At 38.0% G+C, this 18,508-nt stretch overlaps 1 protein-coding gene across 7 annotated transcripts in view; it reads right to left on the minus strand.

The window, feature by feature from the left end:
* The window catches only part of OXCT1 (3-oxoacid CoA-transferase 1), a 140,361-nt gene that overhangs the window by 16,489 nt on the left and 105,364 nt on the right, over positions 1 to 18,508 (minus strand). For 6 of the 7 annotated variants that reach the window (NR_157114.2, NM_001364301.2, NM_000436.4 and 3 more), the window contains 2 exons: positions 15,558 to 15,647; positions 2,974 to 3,054 (listed from right to left, as the gene is read on the minus strand). Coding sequence is in view for 6 of the 7 variants with exons in the window: in NM_001364301.2 (NP_001351230.1) it covers positions 2,974 to 3,054; positions 15,558 to 15,647 (171 nt within the window). In the remaining variant the exon portion in view is untranslated. The remainder of the gene's footprint in view (positions 1 to 2,973; positions 3,055 to 15,557; positions 15,648 to 18,508) is intronic. The other variant, NM_001364302.2, reaches the window with a different exon arrangement.

An 18,508-nucleotide genomic window follows, 5' to 3' on the forward strand; every position in this document is an offset into this window, starting at 1 on the left:
CGTACCAAAAGTTCCAGACGTAGATGCTCTTCTCTTTACTCATTCTTGCTATACATCTATAATTAAGGCTCCAATTATCCCCATATGTTAATGACACCCGCAAGTTTATTCCAATACTGACTTCTCTTTTGAGCTCTAGATCCAAATCTCCAATTGTTTATTGCAATATCTGACTGGGTATTCCCAAGAATATCACACTGAGGCTGTCCAAACTGAACCTATTCATGTCTTGTATTATCCTTCCCCTTCTCCTCCTGCAGTCCTGGGCTTCCTAAAGGATACACAGGTCAACTATTCTCTCTAGTCAGAAAACTTAGGAATCACCTCTGTCTTACCAACAATGTGCAATTCATCAAGTTAGGTCGAGTCCATCTCCTAAATCTCTTTCAAATCTCTCTATCTGTCCTATGGTTTAGAATTTTGAGATTTTTTGCCTAGGTCTATGAATCCTCTTAACTGGCTTCTGCCTTATCTCTTTTCTCCCCGCTTTACATAAAAGCTTACAGTGTTTTTTCTAATGCAAATCTAATTTATTGTGTCCCCAGCCTTAAAACAAAATCACTGAAGGGTTCCTTACTGCCTTCCTTATAAGACCCACAGTTCTTAGCAAGACATCTACATCCCTCCATTATTTGACCCCTCACTGCCTTTTCCACCTCAGCCTTCAGAATCCAGCCATGCCCTTGCTCCAACCAGTTCCACTTGCAGGTTATAGGACAAGCCATGTTTTCTTCATACCTCTGTGACTACATGTTTTCTTCCTTTTTTCCAGAAGGTCCTTGTTGGCTTTCTAACTTATGAAATTCCTACTGCTCTTTCGAGGCTCACCATTCAATCCAGTTTTTCAGCAAGAAAAGCATAAGTATTCACTGAGTATGGGTTGGCACTGTGCCAAGTGTTAGATAAACAATGGTGAGCCAGACAGGCAGAGATTAGAGTTTATTTCAGTATAGTGGTTTGTGCTAAGTTAGGATAAGTACAAAGATTCAGAGAAGCACCCAGAAAATTTGGGGAGGGATAGGGAAGACTTGCTAGATTAGCTAGATTAGGGAAGATTAGCTAGATGGATGGGGTGGGAAGAATGTTCCAGACAGAGAAGGAGGATGTGCAAAGTCTCAAAAGAACATGGTCCAGGGAAGAATGGAATGTAGTTCACAGCATTTTAGCATGGCTCAAGTAGGGAGAAAGTTAAAGCAGAGAGAAATAGGCTAAAGGAGAAAAGGTACATACTGTGAAATGCTTCACAAGATATGTTAAAAGCTTGTATTTAATAACACCAAAAATCTTTCCCTGACACCTCTGCCCACACTGCTGGGCAGCTTTTCTCTATGTCCCTAGATTAGCATCTGGCGTGTGTCTCCATATGGCCTTTATCATGTCAATTACTCTGACTGCTGGAAAGGCTGGATGTTTGGTGTCTCACCCTTCTTCCATGTTGTCCTTTAGGACAGAGACTCTGCCTTCCTCCTTTCTGTAGCACACTGTTGGGAACACTCTGGTTCAAAAGTTTTTAAAATGATAGTAAAGTTAAATATCAATGTAAGTTATAGCATAAGAATACATTAGATTATGAGTGCCAAAATGAACAGTGGACCACTATGAGAATAAATTGTTGTGTGCTATGATGGTGCAAAACCTCTTCATCATGAAGAGGGAAAATGCATTAGGTTTAAAGGACAGGTAGTATTTGGGGAGGCTGAGGATCAAGTGGGAGCTATGACAGGTAGAAGAACTGAACTGGTAAGAACAAGGGCAGGGCACATGTGGAGATGAGGAGAGGGCTGATGGAAGGAGGAGAGGACCCACAGGAAGAATGTTTCTGGAATTATCTTTAGAAGGACTACCACTTTATTTAAAAATAAACAAACAACCAACAGGGTAAAAGATTGCTTTGCTTTTATCTTTAAAGTAATGGATTCTTTTCAACAATCCCTGTTCATAGTTTTAGGGGGATTCAAGAAATGGTAAAGATTCAGAATAGATGGTGGGATAAAATATTCTGCCCCTTTATCTTGTTCTTTATATGTTACCTTCATGGCATTCCACATAAGTAGTCCTGGGGAAGGCATCATTTAGGACAGAACCTCCCTTAAAAGTGGCTTCTGGGAATAATAAGCCTCCTAGCCCACTTCAAAGCCTGCTTTAGGGTGCTCACTGTCACACCTCAGTGAGGTTAGCGAGTCAGATTAATGCCAAGACACTAATGCTATTGTTCTTGGCAAATGGAACAGCACTAAAAGAACCTGATATACATAATTCTGTTTTGTGGCTTCTTCAAGGTACTGAATCAAGAAAACACACCCTCCCAGCTGACTTAAAAGCAGTAAGTCATTCCGACATACTAGGTTCAAATCTGAGTCAGAAGGGTGATGACAGACAGCTGCTGGTGATGCTTCTCTGGTCTGAGCAGCTTTCAGTTGTACTACTGACCAATATGTTCCATCTAGTAAGAAGAATCTAGAGAGTCACTGTGTGTTTTGAAACCCTACTCTATAAAAGAGAGCAGAAAGCATGCAAGAAACAGAATACATTTCTTGGCTTACTGTGGGGCCTATACTACGATTTGCACTGAAACAATTAAAAACCCAACTTACACTGAATTTCTTAAAATCCAAAAATTTCTACTTGTGATTTAGAAAAGGTAGAAATAATATATTCATAACTTTGCATATATCACCATCCAGCCTGACACTGTAATAGTCAAAATATAAAGATCAATAAAACTTTTCTCTGATTATAGCACACTGTCAAAGTTACCAAGGACAGTGATTCAGTTTTGTTTGCATGTTTCCAAAGAGTTGCACATAAAGAATTCTACATTTAGAAACATTAAATTGATGAGCTTTCCTATTCGTTCTGCCCACAGACTAAATTAATCCTATGACTACTGGTGTAATACACTCTTAGAAGGTAACAAAACTTTCTAAAAATGCTTACTTAAAACATGGTAATAGTAGAAAAAGCACTTTTTACCTTTTCAGTAATAATGCGGTTGACACATTGCTTTCCAGTCAATGGTAATGTACATTTCTCCATGATTTTATGTGCATTTCCCTGTTTTAAAAAGAAAACATCAAAAAGAGTAGTTAGGGAGCAATTTTTATTTAGAATTGGCATAACTATAGGATAAACAGAAACTATCAGAGAAATTGTCTCCTAAGTAAAGACTCTTTCAGAATTTTTGCACAGTTACATTTTTTACTCTTTTTTTGGAGGCAGCTTCTGTACCTGCAATAATTTAGAGAATGCCAGATGAATGGCCAAAGGCAGAAATGATTTAATTGGGAAACATCCTGCCAGAAATTTGACTTCTCAAGCCTCAGCCCTTGTATCATTTGAAGTGAAATGTCACTAATATCCTGATTATTTTTCCCTTCCAAGGAATGGTCTCCTTTAAAAATGTGAGCAGATATCTGCGCAGGATGCAAAGCACATACAGAACACAAATGCGTAAGTCCTCTTCTTAAAAAATACTTTATCTGTTAAAAAAGTAATATGTACATGGAAAACAGCAGTGCCTTGCCTCCCTTCCCCACTCTTAGACTTGCTCTTAACTGGAATCCATTCTAGTGTGTTTTTTGGTTTTTTTTTTTTTTTTTTTTTTTTTAGCATTTTCTTCTAGGTTTCTACACATTTTCTTCTTATATCCACTTTTAAAATACTATGTTTACCATGCTACTTCTTGATTAATCAATTTTAAACAGTATCTATTCATTTCCTATTGTGGCAGAGGAAGACTTAAGAAAAACTAAAAGTGGAAAAAATGTTTTCATTCATTGACTCCCTCCTCCAGCCCCTCCTCCCACCTGCAATGTAGAACTGGCCTCTGAGGCATGTCTGAGGAACACAGTTGAAACATTGGCTCTGAGGATCTGATCTTCAGATCATTTTCTTCTGTTCATGATTAAGCTACTTTTTAAGAGTCAAGCACCAGGAGCCTAAATTACTGTCTCCCTTGGGGCTGATAGCTACTCTAACATATTCTAGATCTTCTCCAAAAATGACAAAATGCTTTTATTGCTTTCTTTTGGATCTAATGTACCACATGTGACGCCACTATCGTCCTTAGCCATCTCAATGTTTTACCTGCTTAAATGCACACCTACTATCTAGTTTATATCTCTCCCAAAACTGGTGTCAGGCTAAGTATATGGGCAGAGGCTATGAATTTCAGATAGGTGGACTCCATTAAGATTTCATTCCTTGTGATAGCCTGCCAACTCAGCAATGCACTAGTAATTAAGGGGCTTTAATGTACTTAAGCCAGTTCAGGGAATAAAAGACATTCAGTAGTTTTTGAATAAAGGCATGTAAGAATGAATGGGAAGAGAAACAGAGGTAAATTGGGAATCTTGGATAGATTTTTAAAAAAACTATTACTTTAGTTCAGACAAAACTGGTGCTAAATACATATGAAGTAAGTTGACATAACACCTTTTAAAACAATTCATATGTTTCCAGATCTTACTGTATATGAAAATTTATAGTTGCAGAAATAAAGCTTCATTTTCACTTCACTTCTAATTATTTTTCTTTTAAAATTTCAAATTCTGCACGACACAGAAGCTAAATTAATTAAACAGCTGAAATTAATGACAAATATTCGAACTTCTACAGTTGTCAGGTCTCCTTACATTTAATATAAATCAAGGCATGTCACAATGAATTCTGGGCCTGACTTCAAACAAACTGAACTATCTGCCAGCCACTGAAGAACATTTTCTGCAAGGAGCTCTTACTTAGTTCTCATTATTTGAGCAAGATCTACATCTGGCATGAGAGCAGCCACTTGGATTTTAATGAACAATCAACTTCATTTTAGGAGGAATCAAGGATTTCAACTGACAGAATTGGCTGTGCCCTACCAATGGAGACCTTTTTCTAGACCATTCTCTGCATACACACTATAGCATAGTGGTTAAGTGCATGGGCTAGAGCCAAAGGACCTGTGTGTAAAACCTGGCCATGCCCCCCACTGTCTCTGTAAGAGCCACATGCCCATGCTTCTCCATCCACCCTACCTTGAAAGATTAGATAAGTTCTACATGAAATGCAAGGGTCCAGCACTTAGTGCTTAATGAATGTTAGCTGGTACTGTTTTTAATACAATCCATAATTAATATTTCTAAAACCTGCGAGGAAATTAAGTTCCTATATGAAGTCTGACAGAGGATTATGTAGAAAATGGCCTAAATACAATTCCTGAGACACATAAAACTAGTGAAAACACAACACAAATTTGGGGGCAAACCATATGGCTCTCCTAAGAAACTGGCACCAAATGTATTCCTGTTAGAACAATGGAGCTAGATGATTCCATTCACATTTATAGTGCCAGGACATAACACAGATCAAGGAAAAAGAAAATGAGATGCAGAAAGATTTTAAAATGTCACAATTTCAATATTCAATAAAAGGTTAGCTATGAAACCAAAATATGACTAGCTCCCATGTTAGCACTCTATTCTAAATATGCTGGGCTGAGCCCTACAGTATGCTATGGCAGCTGCATATATTAGTGACTCACAAAGGAGGAACAAGTGCTGAGGTTTTAGCATTTAAAAATAAATCCTAGTAAAGGAATGCAGTATGGTGTGGGAGCAAAGAGCACTCTACTAGGAGTCCAAAGACCAGGTTTGTAGTCTTAGTTCTGCCATACAATTTTTGTGGTCCCTTAAATTCTTTGTGCCATAGTTCTCTCTTATCCTTTGCTTTATCCTCCTTACCTGATCATTGTAGGAATCAAATGAAATGTTCTGAAACTGCAATAAACTAGGGTGGGTTGAATCTAGGTGCAAATATACAGGGTTACGCGGATCTCATTCATGCTTATATATTGCATTTCTTTCCTTCCTCATGAAGGGTTGTCAGAAAAGGCAGAGAAATAGATACAAAGCATAGCATTAAAAATGCTTTGTGCATGGTGGCATGGGTCACACCTGTAATCCCAGCACTTTGGGAAGCTGAGGTGGGAGGATCACTTGAGGCCAGCAGTTCTAGAACACCCCAGGCAACATAGCAAGACCCTATTTCTACAAAAATTTTAAAAGTTAGCCAGTTGTGTCTGTGCGTGCCTGTAGTTCCAGCTACTCAGGAGGCCAAGGTAGGAGGACTGCTTGAGCCCAGGAGGTTGTAGTAAGCTATGCTCATGCCATTGCACTCCAGCTTGGGCAACAAAGAGAACTGGTCTCAAACAAACAAACAAAAACAAACAAAAAAAACTGACTAGTCCTGAGGCTCCTGATTTCAATATGCCCTTACTTATTAACTTCATCACAACCTTTGGTGAACATCTACCTTCTTTCCTGCATCAGCTTCCCTAATCTTTCTCTTTCTCCTTCAGCGCTTACAGGACTTGAGCAATACATAGGGTAATTCACCATTTTCAAGTGACTAAACACTCTAGTACTTTCTATTGCTTGCTTCTTGGTGATCTCTTTAATTCTTTAGATGTCTGAATAAAATCCTGGGCCTAAGTTCTGCAGTATTAAACAACTCTAGTTAAATAGTAATAAATCCCTTTGCTATCATAACAATAAGTTTCATGTTATTGCAATGAACTTAATCCCAAATCCAAATAAGCTCTTTATCACAACAGAATGATTTCTTGCATTTCATGTCAATACATTCACCTGAAATCTTTAAGACTGTGCTTTATACAAAACCTCATTTCATGCTCATCTTTTCTGTTAAGTGCTTGTTAAATGTGGCTGCAATACACACACACACACACACATAGACACACACACACACATAGACACACACACACACACACACACAGACACACACGTGTGCACGTATTTTTTCTCTCAGTACTTTCTTTGGCAAAGCCCTAATGATCAACTACAGAGAAGGCAAGTTCTGGGATTTGCCTGCTCCTAAAAAGACCAAGCCTTTCAGCTTTTGTTCATGCTGCCTGTTAGCTGGAACACATACCACCACATACCTCATCACCCCAGATTCAAACGGCAACACCCTTCCTATTCAGGAGTTGGCTCAGACACCATCTTCCCTAGGAAAACCTTCATCCAGCATCCTCATCTGGTGCTGCAGTCATGTTCCCATGGGTGTCCCCAGTGTGTGGCCCTCCTAGGTGCTCCTGTGCTTCCTCCTCCCTTCACATGTTGACCTCTTGCCACCACCTCCATTAGATGCTGAGCTCACTAAGCTAAGACTATTTTTCTTCATATGTACAGCCATGAGTAGAACATTAGGCAAACTACAGTGATCAATAAAGGCTGCATTTCTGATTCAAGGAACTCCAGAGGGGAGCTATAAAATGCCATGTGACTAATGTCTATGGACCACTAGGGGCTGCCTTTCTAGTTCTAAGATAGGTACTCGTACATTCCTAGTATCTCTGAGCTCACTAGAAGCAGCACAGCTAGCAGAAGCACATGACGGGGCTTATAAGACTTTGGGAAGACAGATAAAGGTGTGATAAAAGGAAGCAGCAAAGACACTTTAGGACTGTAGCCCAAAACATACAAATGTGAAAGTTAAGAGAGAAACAGTGAATTATAGTTATTTTACCTCTTCCACCTGCTCCCTTCTAAAGCTTAAAGGCACTTGCCATAATTTGCTGAAAAGAAGGACTACAAGGGCTTCTTTTAATTTAATATTCTTGGCAAGAGAATATTAAATACTTTGTCTGGTAGAACAAGGAAGCCAATGGCAGGTCTATCTTTGGGCTTGCCAAAATATCATGGATGAAGCCTGATTATCAACACCCTTGCTCTTTCCTTCTCCCACTTAATCTCAATGCTTAAATCAAGCATACCACATACACACACAAATACAATAATGGGAAATGCTGTATTACAAAATACATGACTGTCACATCACTATAACTGATGTAGCTGGATTATTTGTAACACAAAAGATACATGCTTGAGAAGATGGATACCCCATTCTCCACAGTGTGATTATTTCACACCATATGCCTATATCAAAACATCTCATGTACCCCATAAATATATTCACCTATTATGTGCCCACAAAAATTAAAAAATTTAATTTTTTTAAAAAAAGAAAAGAACTGGATTTGCTAAATAAAGAAAATCAAGGTACACAGAATAAAAGGAAAGAATGAGATTACTCACACTGCATTTGTCCTCATGGGATATGATTGACCTTTATACAGCGCCTACACTATAGGGTTTCCAACAATCCACTCAGGACTTCAGTAGAGAGACTCAGCTAACTTAGAAGCAGAGAACATTTGCTATTACAAATGATATGTGGAGGTAATATATGGAGGTAATAAAAGTTTGTGGTTACAGGTATATTCTCAAGGGGAAGACTAGCCAAATGAAACAGTAGATACAGCAAGCCATTTGCCTGAAAAACGGTCTTCAGGGTTTTGAGATCTTAGAATAGAAGGCCCCTTATACACTGTATCATATACATTTCTTGTACACTGTATCATAAAAATCATTATCATAGACATACTTATTTTTTCTAAAGGTTGCGTCCTATGATCTCTAACCTCCAGAGGGCAGAGCACAGAAGTCAGCAGGAATTACTTTCTCTTTTCATTCATGAACTGTTGTGGTACCTTAGAAAGCCTCTGTTAGCATTAGTTTTCCTTTTTATTTTAGAAAATGTGGAGACTTGTGCACATAAATGCAAAGCTAAAGAATTTAAAGTGATAAGGTTAATTAAATTCTGTAACACATTTTAAAGAGTTTTACTAGTTGTTGGACTGTGTTCTGCTTTTTTTCTCCCATTTTATAACGTTTTTGCAGGCATTTCTATCATAAAGGAGAAATAAAAAGGCAAAACCATGTAAGGATTTATAGTTTTTAAAGGTGAATTTTTTTTCCCCAAACAGAACCTGGCTACTGTATATTCTAATTGAAGCTAGGAAAGAATTATACGCTTTTATAAATGAGAAAAAAATTAAGCTAGCTGAAACTCTTATTAATTATGAATTCTCCTAAGAAAAGAATACTTTCATTTTGAGCTACTTTTCAATGTTGCTGAAAATTATCTGAAGGATGTCTCCCAAGAAAGGGTTTTCCTTAAAAAGCCTTCATATTTGTTGGCTTTTGATAACACATTTCATCCAAAATAAGCAGGATTAATAAACTCCATTTACCTTTTATAATTCTTCTCCACAAAAAGTGAAGTCAAGATAAGATAGCTTTCAGCTCTATATGAGACCTGTGCTATAGACACAGATTAAAGGCTGAAATGAAAAGATACTTGACTATAATTTGAATCAAGGTGAAGAAATAAAGAACAGCAGGAAAGGTAAATATAAAAGGTCACCTAAAAGCAAATATTGGTACACATAAAGGTACATACATAAATATAACATTTCCTTTACAAGACTGTAAACACAGTTGCATAAAACAACAATTATAAATATGTTCTGATGGGCAGATGAGTATAAAGATCGCTACAGTTTATATGACAAAGGCAGCACAAGCCAGGAGAGAGTGAGTGAAGCTATATGAGTATACTTTTTAACACTAATAAGCTTAAGGTAATCCAAATTAAAAAACACAAGGTTTATTCTTTCATTCACCAGGTTTATTCTCAACTTCATAACAATTATTCTTTTTATCCCTTCAGAATCCAGACCTCCTATTGTAATACAAAAATCTAAACCTGTTTTAGTAATAGAGTTCTCATTTTGTCTCCAAAATTAAGAAACCAAGCTTTGTTTGTTGCCATTAAATGACAACAGTAACTGAATTCCTTTGTTTTTGTGGTCTGAAAGTTATACTTAGGAACACGTTTCCCGTACATGATATTGAGAACAAAACAGATTCTTCATGTTGTTAGTGGTAATGGTGCTTGCCAGCAGAAAAGCTTAACAAAAGGAAAAGGAAGCCCAGAGGCAGAATGCATGGACTCTGGGCTTGGTTTTACTTTTTATTTTATTGGGTTACTTAACCTCTATGAAATTCTGCCTCTAGAAAGAAAATATCAAGAACCATCTCATGAGAGGGTTATAATGATAAAATGGAGACAGAAGCATGTAACAACTTGGAAAAGTTAGAAGTGCTTTCTATATGTTCAAGGTGGATTACTTGAAAAATTAATTCAACAAGTATGTATTGAGCCATGATGTACATAAGGCTCTATTCTACTCGGTGCTTATAACAGAGCCCCTGTCTTCATGGAGTTTGCATTCTGCTGAAGAAGGGGGAGAAAGGATCGTCTGAAGACGGAAGAGTTCTGTTGTATATAATAAGGTAGTCAAAGAAAGCTTCTCTGGTATTTTGAGTCTGAGTGAAGTGAGGCAGTGAGCCATGTGGATAGCTAGGAAAAAGTATTCTAGGCATAAAGAATAACAAATGCAAAGGTCCCAAGGCAAGATATTCTTACGATGTTCTAGAAACTTTCAGGAAGTGAGTGAGGGTGAAGTTAAGTGGGCAAGAGAGATAACAGATTCAGAGAGGCAGTTGGGGTGGCAAAGCAGGGGGAGTCTACAAACCATGGAAGTCTTGGAGACAATAGTAAGGACTCTGGACTTGAATCTAAGTGAGATGGGAAGTCATTGAGGGTTTTTGAGCTGCCATTGAGGGTTTTTGAGCCAACAAAGAAGTAGCATGATCCCATTTACATTTTGGCGAAAAAAATCACTCTGGCCACTGTGTGTGTTTAAGTGTGAGTATATTTTTTCCCACTCAACCTTTCTCGCTTTGTTCTTTGACTAGAGGGACCTAATTATAAATCTCTTAACATGCACCATCCTCCCACACACCAGTGTCTATTCTTTTATTTCCTGCAACACTTAATCCCTGTCAAGCTGCCCCATCCCTCAGATCTCCTGCAAATACTCCATACATCCCATGGGAAGCCTCTTTGTTGCTCCCCAACAATGGAACTGGGAATGAGATGCCAGGTTCTGCAGGCTCTGCTTTGCTCACCTTTCATCTTAAGTACTGATTTCCATGACTCTGCCCCCATAAGACTGGGCTGCCTGAAGGACCATATCTTTTTTCATTTCCTCAGAGCCTATGATAGTACTTTGTACATATCAAGTCCTCAGTAAATATTTTATGTCTGAATAAACAAGTAAATTAACATACTCAGAAGGTAATTTTACCAAAATTCAAGACAAAACATCAAAGAATATTCCTTTGGTCATTCACAATGTCGAGAGGACAGAAGGAACTAAACCAGCAAATTCATAAAACATTGGCTCATTCATCTATGATTTTACAGAGGTAGGAATAAGCCAGATAAAGAGGGAGTGGGCACTGAATGTACAAACACCTAAGAATGGGAAACACCATGATGCCTTTCTGTAGATCTTAGTAGACCTTAAGTTCTGCGGGCAAGGATGAGATAGGCTGCTGGGGAGCGAATCGCAAAGGCAGATGGGCTAAGTAGAACCAAGCAGTGTTGACTATGTTTACAGATTTTAAATAGCAACAACTTCATCTAGCTTTAGTTTTAGACTAGTCAATCTGGCAGTCGTGTGCTTGATTACCAGGACGTAGGGGCAGTCAGCAGTCAGGGACCTTTGGAATGCTGCAGTAGTGATCTATGCAGATGTAAAGAAGGCCTTAACAGGGATAAACAGAGTAGAAATACATAGTGGGGAGCAGACTACAAGAGTCACATTGATGCAATATTTATAGTGCTTGGTGTACGTAGGGGTAGGGGCAGAGAGGGACCATGGATGCCCTGCCAAATGATAACTGGGAGATCATCACTTCTCTAGTTGGGCCAAATAAGCAGAACATATTTAGGGGGAATGATGATTTAGTTGGCAAAATTTGTTGCAGATGAGGTGGCTGTGGAACAACCAGGTGGAGTTGTGTAATAGGAAGTTAGAAATATAGTTCTATGGCTGATCAGAAGATTCTAGTGTGGAAAAATGATTAAGGAGCCACTGAGTGAAAAATAGTACTTGGTACCAAAGATTCAGATGGCACCTTAGAAGGCTGCAGAGCAGAGGGCATTATAAAGAGTTCTGGAGGGAACCCATAAAGGAAGGAATGGGGAATCTATCTATGGATACAAGTGGTGGAGGGAGCCACTGAGTGAAAAATAGTAGTTGGTACCAAAGATTCAGATGGCACCTTAGAAGGCTGCAGAGCAGAGGGCATTATAAAGAGTTCTGGAGGGAACCCATAAAGGAAGGAATGGGGAATCTATCTATGGATACAAGTGGTGGAGGCAGCTCTGCAACCCGCAGCACATGGTTTACAGGTTTGTACCCAAGGCTGCTGCTGCAGTCAAGGCCTTTATCAGACAGAGGGGGCATAGAAAATTTAATGCAATTGGCTTTAACTTTAAAGACATACCTCAGAAATTACATACATCATAAATACTCAAATCCCACTGACCCAAACTTGGTAGCATGGATGTATCTATGCACAGGAAGGCTAGGAAATGTAGCCAGTCACTGGGTTTATCTGTGTGCCCAGATAAAACAGGGAGGAGTCTAATGCAAAAAGGAAGAAATGGAGATAGGTATTAGAAGATATAATTAGATTTTTGGATTATTTTCTTTTAAACATATTGCTGATGTAAGTCTCACCTAAGCAAAGAGAGCTTTGTCCAGGGAAAATGAAAAAAAAAAAAAAAAACCTGAAGCTTCCTGAAAGGGCAGATGTGGGTGGGACGCTGGTGCAGAGGTAGCTTTGTGAGGATGTGGCATGGTGCAGTATGAACACAGGCTGCACCACACTGAATCAAATTCCAGCTCTGTCACTTTCCTGGATAAGCTTCTTAATACCCATATCTCAACCTTACTTCAGAGGATCAATGAGATTAAGCATATGCAGTGCCAAGCACAGCACCTCCACCTGGTAAGGACTCAGATTGTTACTCCTTTCCTTTCTTCACATTTTTAAAGGGCAGAAGATAAGATATACCTAGAAATGAAAAAGAAGCTTAAGAAGAAAGGTGGCTGGACACCAAAAAAAACTTTGCCTACTTCAAAACTTTGCCTGTAACTCTGATGTCTAGGCTCAAATGAAAATCAAGTTACAATGCCAGTCTGACCCGTGTGCCTGACATACGTTGCAGAGGTAGTCTGAGGGCAGGTGTTACTCCAGAGCAGCACCCGTAGGTAGCCAGGTCTCAGGTTTTAGAAGCTGCTGGAGTCTGAACTAAAGGCAGTAACTGGTTGCAAGAGTTTCCTTTGTCTTATTAAAACAACAACAAAAAACACATTTTTACAAAGCCAAGCAATGCTATATTTATAAACAACCTGCAAATTAACTGTAACCCTATCGATAAGGAAATAGATAGCCCTACCCGAAAACCAGTTAATAGCTCTATCCACTTACAGAAAAAACAAAACAAAACAAACAAACAAAAAAAACAGCAAAACAGCAGCACAAGAATACAAGACTATATTTCTCAGGTTTTAATCCTTCTTTGCAAACTTTACTCCCATGTCTTACAAAACTCTAGAGATTGCTCCCCTAGGCTGTTCACTTAATCATAAGGCAGCAGAAGTTACCTGGCATATCTAAAAGAACAGATTCTTAACTGAAGAGATTACCAGGAGTGAAAAAACTCTCTTCCCTACCTCTTTTCCAGCTCTTCTCAACTTTTAACCAAAGCAAAAGATGCAAAAAAGAAATAGCAGGTTCCCTGTCTTCCCTTGAGCTGGGCCAGTAACCATGAGTCCAGGTGAACAAAATAGTAGCAGCTACATATTCGAGAGCCACAAGTAAAATGTGTGAGAAGAGAAACTGTTGATTATTTTTCAAAGGTTAACTGTTTACTGTGAATAATTCATTACTATTATTTTAATCATAAGTACATTGTTTTATTGGTTTGTTGAAATGAAACTATCTACGGAAAAATACCTCATTCCAATTCTGTTTTAAAACTCAGTGCTAATTTCCCCACTGAGAGAAGGAAAGAAGTAAAAAATATGATCTTTCTTCTGTGGAAAGCTTTAATAAGATATTTCTAGTCTGAAGTTGGTGGCATCATTTATTTTCCTCTATCAGAAATTCCAGCTGAGGAGAAAGAAAGGACTTGGGTGGAAGAAAAGAATTTGCAAAATATAGGCCTAATGTTTTGAAAACAAATACACAAAAATAAACTAAAATAAGTTGAACTTCAGTGCCTTCGTGTGTCAATATTAAGGTTCACAACAAAAAGAAAGTCTGAAAGAGTTTTTTCCAAATAGACATTATTTTCCAGAAAAGATTTGGATTTGATTTGCATGCTTGGCATCCTCTTGCCTCTGAAATGAAGTATTTTGGATGCTTTGCAAGGCATTCTCAGAAGTCACCTGTGCTGGTACCATTTCTATTATTCCATATTTATGCACCACTGCTCACCTCCCACTGTTTACTCAATTTATGATAACACATATTTATAGCTGTTTTCACAACAAAATCATTTTGTGGCATACATTTCTCTGTAACCAAACTTTCCCAGGGGAAGCAGGTGGGATGTGAATCTTCTAGTTCCGTGCTTTAACATAATGCTGCATCACTAAACAAAAAGAGGGCAAATGAACTGTCATTTCCACTCAGATTAGCAGGTCTCAAAGTGAGAAGAGGTAGATTTTAAAACTAAGAATGATAAAGAATAAAGGAGGATGAAGAGAAGGCAAAGAAGATGAAGAAAGCATTCAATATCAACTTTTAAAATCAGTAGAAGCCAATGGGTTCAGGTTAGGAAGGCAATTAAGCTCAGTTCGTCCAAAGACACTGAGTCAGGAACAAGGAAGAAACTTACACTGATAGTTCCTTGGTGAGACAACTGGGCTTTGGAATCAGAGACACCAGGTCTAATCAGAGTTCTACTAGTTCTAACAGAACTTCGGGCAAGTTACTTAACCTCTCTAAAGCTCTGTTTCTGGACATACTAAGAGCACTTATATCAAGTTCATGGGCCCATACATATACACAGAGCTTGGTGTATTCTTGGCACACAGTAAACACTAAAAAATGGTAGCTATTATTATTGCAATGTGAAGGAAGAGGAAAAAGACTGAATGTAAGCTTCATGAGATCAGTAATTTTTGTCCAGTTTTGGTCACTGCCACATCCTAGCATGCCTAGCATGTAACAGGCACTCAAATATTTAATGATTTATCAAAATAAAAGTATAATACCTTTCAGAGCTATCACCTAGTCCATTATTTTGTAACATCTTCTGGATACGGCACCTCACAGCTTTGAGGGCCATATGGTCCATTTGAAAATAACTGTTGTTAAGATGTATGTTCTGTTGTGGCTTTTCATTTCACGCACAGATAGCAACCACTATAATCATCTTAAAACCTGAATCAATACATCCATACAGACATCTTTTCACTTCCTTTGGAGATATTAAAGCTTTTACTTTTAATATGTATGCATAAAGCTTTTACTTTTAATAGGTATGCAGGACAAATATTTGAAGAACATGCTGATGTTTGGTTTCACTCAAAGTTAACCATTTAGCTAAATAAATAATAAGTAACTGTTTTTGTCATCTTTCTCTCTCAAATGTAAATGCTATCACCTTGAATGAGCCAGAGAAAATAAAATCCACAGTTAGGTGACCTGGTGGTACACTGGGTTTTGATGTATTGCAAATTTCCAAAAGCAGTATTTGGGGAGCACAGTACATGTTACCTTTGCAGAATGCTCCATGGTGACCACCACTTTGGTTTTCGCACTGGACACTAAATCCATAGCACCTCCCATTCCTTTCACCATCTTCCCCTGCAAAACAAAAAATAAATAGCTCTGTATCTTTCACTTCTTTTGTATGTGACAGAACAAAATTAACTTGCAAAAATAAGCTACTAGAATCATTAAAAACTCATTGTCCTTCATTGCTTAGTGCTTGAAGTTCTATAACCTAATATTCTGTCACTCTATTATTCTGTGGTTGAAGGATAAAGTTCAGGATAAACATTACATCACTTTTATTAAGTGTGGCTAATATGATTTTCTTGACATTTTAGCAATAAGACAATCAGTGGATTAAAAAAAATTAAAAACCTTTCCAGAATTCTGGGACATTACTATTATTACACTATCAGATTGAAATCCAAACACCCCTGACATCCACTTCTTTTTAAACACAATCAACTCTACTGAGTCTTCAATTAAGGGCACTTTCTAAAGTACTCTTGGATTTCCTGCAGATTAAAATTCCATTATGTAGTAGTAGGCTGAGGCATGAATGGTGTTTTTCTAGTAATGGCTAATATGAAAGGTGGCTCTGTCTTTCTAACACTTGGCATTTATCTTGCGCTTAGAAAAATAAAATAAAAAACATTCTTGCTAAGCAAAAACAGAACACAGAAACAGAGTTCAGGATCATTTCACCATTATCATTCTATTTTTGATCATCTGGCCATCCCTTCATTCATTATACTTTTACCAACCACCTTCTATGTACCACATGCTCTGAAAAAGTCCATCCGTCTATTCTGTCTCCTGCTTACAGAGTTCTGGAAAAAGCAAGTGTTTCCAGAGATGATAAAATGATTCTTACTCAAGTATATTGAGGAGAAATGTCTTTGAACTGAAACCTCCTTAAAATTTTATTTATTTTTTAGCCCAAGTCCTCTTGCTGATTTGCCAGTAAAGTCTTAGAGGGCTCTTAGCTCCTTTCTGATAATGTTAGAGCTATAAGGAGATCAAGAAATGCACACAACATGGCTTTAAAACACGGTCTCGAATTCCATGATTTTGGAGACATTTTACAGGTCAATGAAACAGAACATGAACATGAATTAGATGAGCAGTATGAAGAAAAGAAGTAGTCACCACATTTTTGTGGTTTGGAATCTGTCAGTAAATAAGATAGATGGCAGCTGGCAACAGCTGGGGGACAAGGGATGAGGGTGGCAGGGGAGAGAATGCAGAGTACAAAATGAGCCTGGTTTCAGACCGTTTGAAGCAGAACATAATGTGGAAATGCATACTTTTAAACTTCTATAAGCAATGCCTTCATTCTTAGCTGCAACCCTAATAAACTGGGGCCAATTTATTAAGTTGGTCATAATATTTCTGTAGAGAACATTGATATCGTACAAAATATAAATAAGTCAGAGATGGAAGCAATCAATGCCTATCAAATTCTAATGAGAAAGTTTGAGATTTGTAGAGCAACAAAAGACACTAAAGCAACCCTATGATAAAATGTGTCAATCTGCTATGGTAAGAACATCCAGGCAGTCTCAGTTTCTATACATAGTGTCCTTGGCAGACTGAGGGGGCGAGCGCTGGAAGAATGAAAAGGCAGCAGCCAAAGAAAACCAGAAACCAAGCTAGAGAGTTAACAACTCTTTGAATTAAAAAAAAGTCCCTGAATTAGAATATACCACAGGCAAATTCTGTCCCCTGTGACAAAATGGTTACATAGGTAAAAACTTATGACAGCCTCTAACAAGAAGGAAGCCTGCCCAATTTAGATGAATCTGATTTATACATTTTAAATTACTGTCAATTAGTTTAGAAATATGTATAGAGGCCCTGCAGGGTACAAACCAGTGTGCTGGCAAGAATATAACACACTATGAAACATGGTAGACCAAGCATGTCTGTTTTTGTTAAAAACACTCTTGACTCAATATAAGTGAATAGCCTTCACTCAAAGAGATTCAGCTGGCTTGATGTCTCATTTCCAAAGCACATGTTACAACCTTTAAAGCACTATTTTGATTCTTAAATTTAATGCTTGTTTCCAAGAGTGAAAAATGCACAAGATTAGATGCAGAACACCTGAGATCTAGCCTGTTAACTATGAGTCAATGGCAAAACACCAAATCTCTCTGAATTTGTGTTCATTATCTGTACACCAGGAATAAGAATATCTGTCCTACCATAGAGCTGTGGTGAGCACTGTATGAGATGATGTATGCAAACGTGTAATAAATAGAGTTTATAAATGTATTCACTTATCTTCAATCAATTCAACTTACTGAATGTCTAGTATAAGTGTTGCTGTATACTAGGGTGCTAGAGTCAGATCAAAACAAGGTCCTTCTCCTGGAAAAGCTTGTTGCCTATGGAAGGAAAAGTATCCATGAATACTAAAAGACTCAGACTACACTTCCTTCCTCTAAAAGGAACATTTTCACCTCTCTCTTATCACAAAGTACAGATAAGTGTCTTTTCCCTAAGCCTTTATACTATTCAGTATGTAATGCTATCACAGTGAATTTCAACTGTTCTCTTTCCCTGCCTTCCCTCTTTCTCTTCTTCTCTCCATTATAAATATTTGGATGAGTGAGTGGATGAATGAATTAAACCAACAAAGGTATAACACTGAGGATGCAACTGCTAACTGTGGCTGGGAAAGCAGGCAGGGAAGGAAGTAGCTCAGGGAGATTCCCAAATGAGGGGATTCACACAAGTAGCCCATTAGGTGGTAAGAGCAATACTGTGAAAGATAAGAGCAGTATCTTTTAATAGCATTTCTAGCAGGTCACAGGAAAACCTTCAAATATCTGGTTTTTCTGCTTTTAGTGTGTTCACTGTATTGGAAACAGAAAATAAAATGTTTCCCTCCATTTCAATTCCCAAAGGATTTCTGAAACAGTCCATTACTAAAAAGAAGAAAAGGCGTT

Source organism: Homo sapiens, chromosome 5, assembly GCF_000001405.40.
Source record: "Homo sapiens chromosome 5, GRCh38.p14 Primary Assembly".
Taxonomy (NCBI): domain Eukaryota; kingdom Metazoa; phylum Chordata; class Mammalia; order Primates; family Hominidae; genus Homo; species Homo sapiens.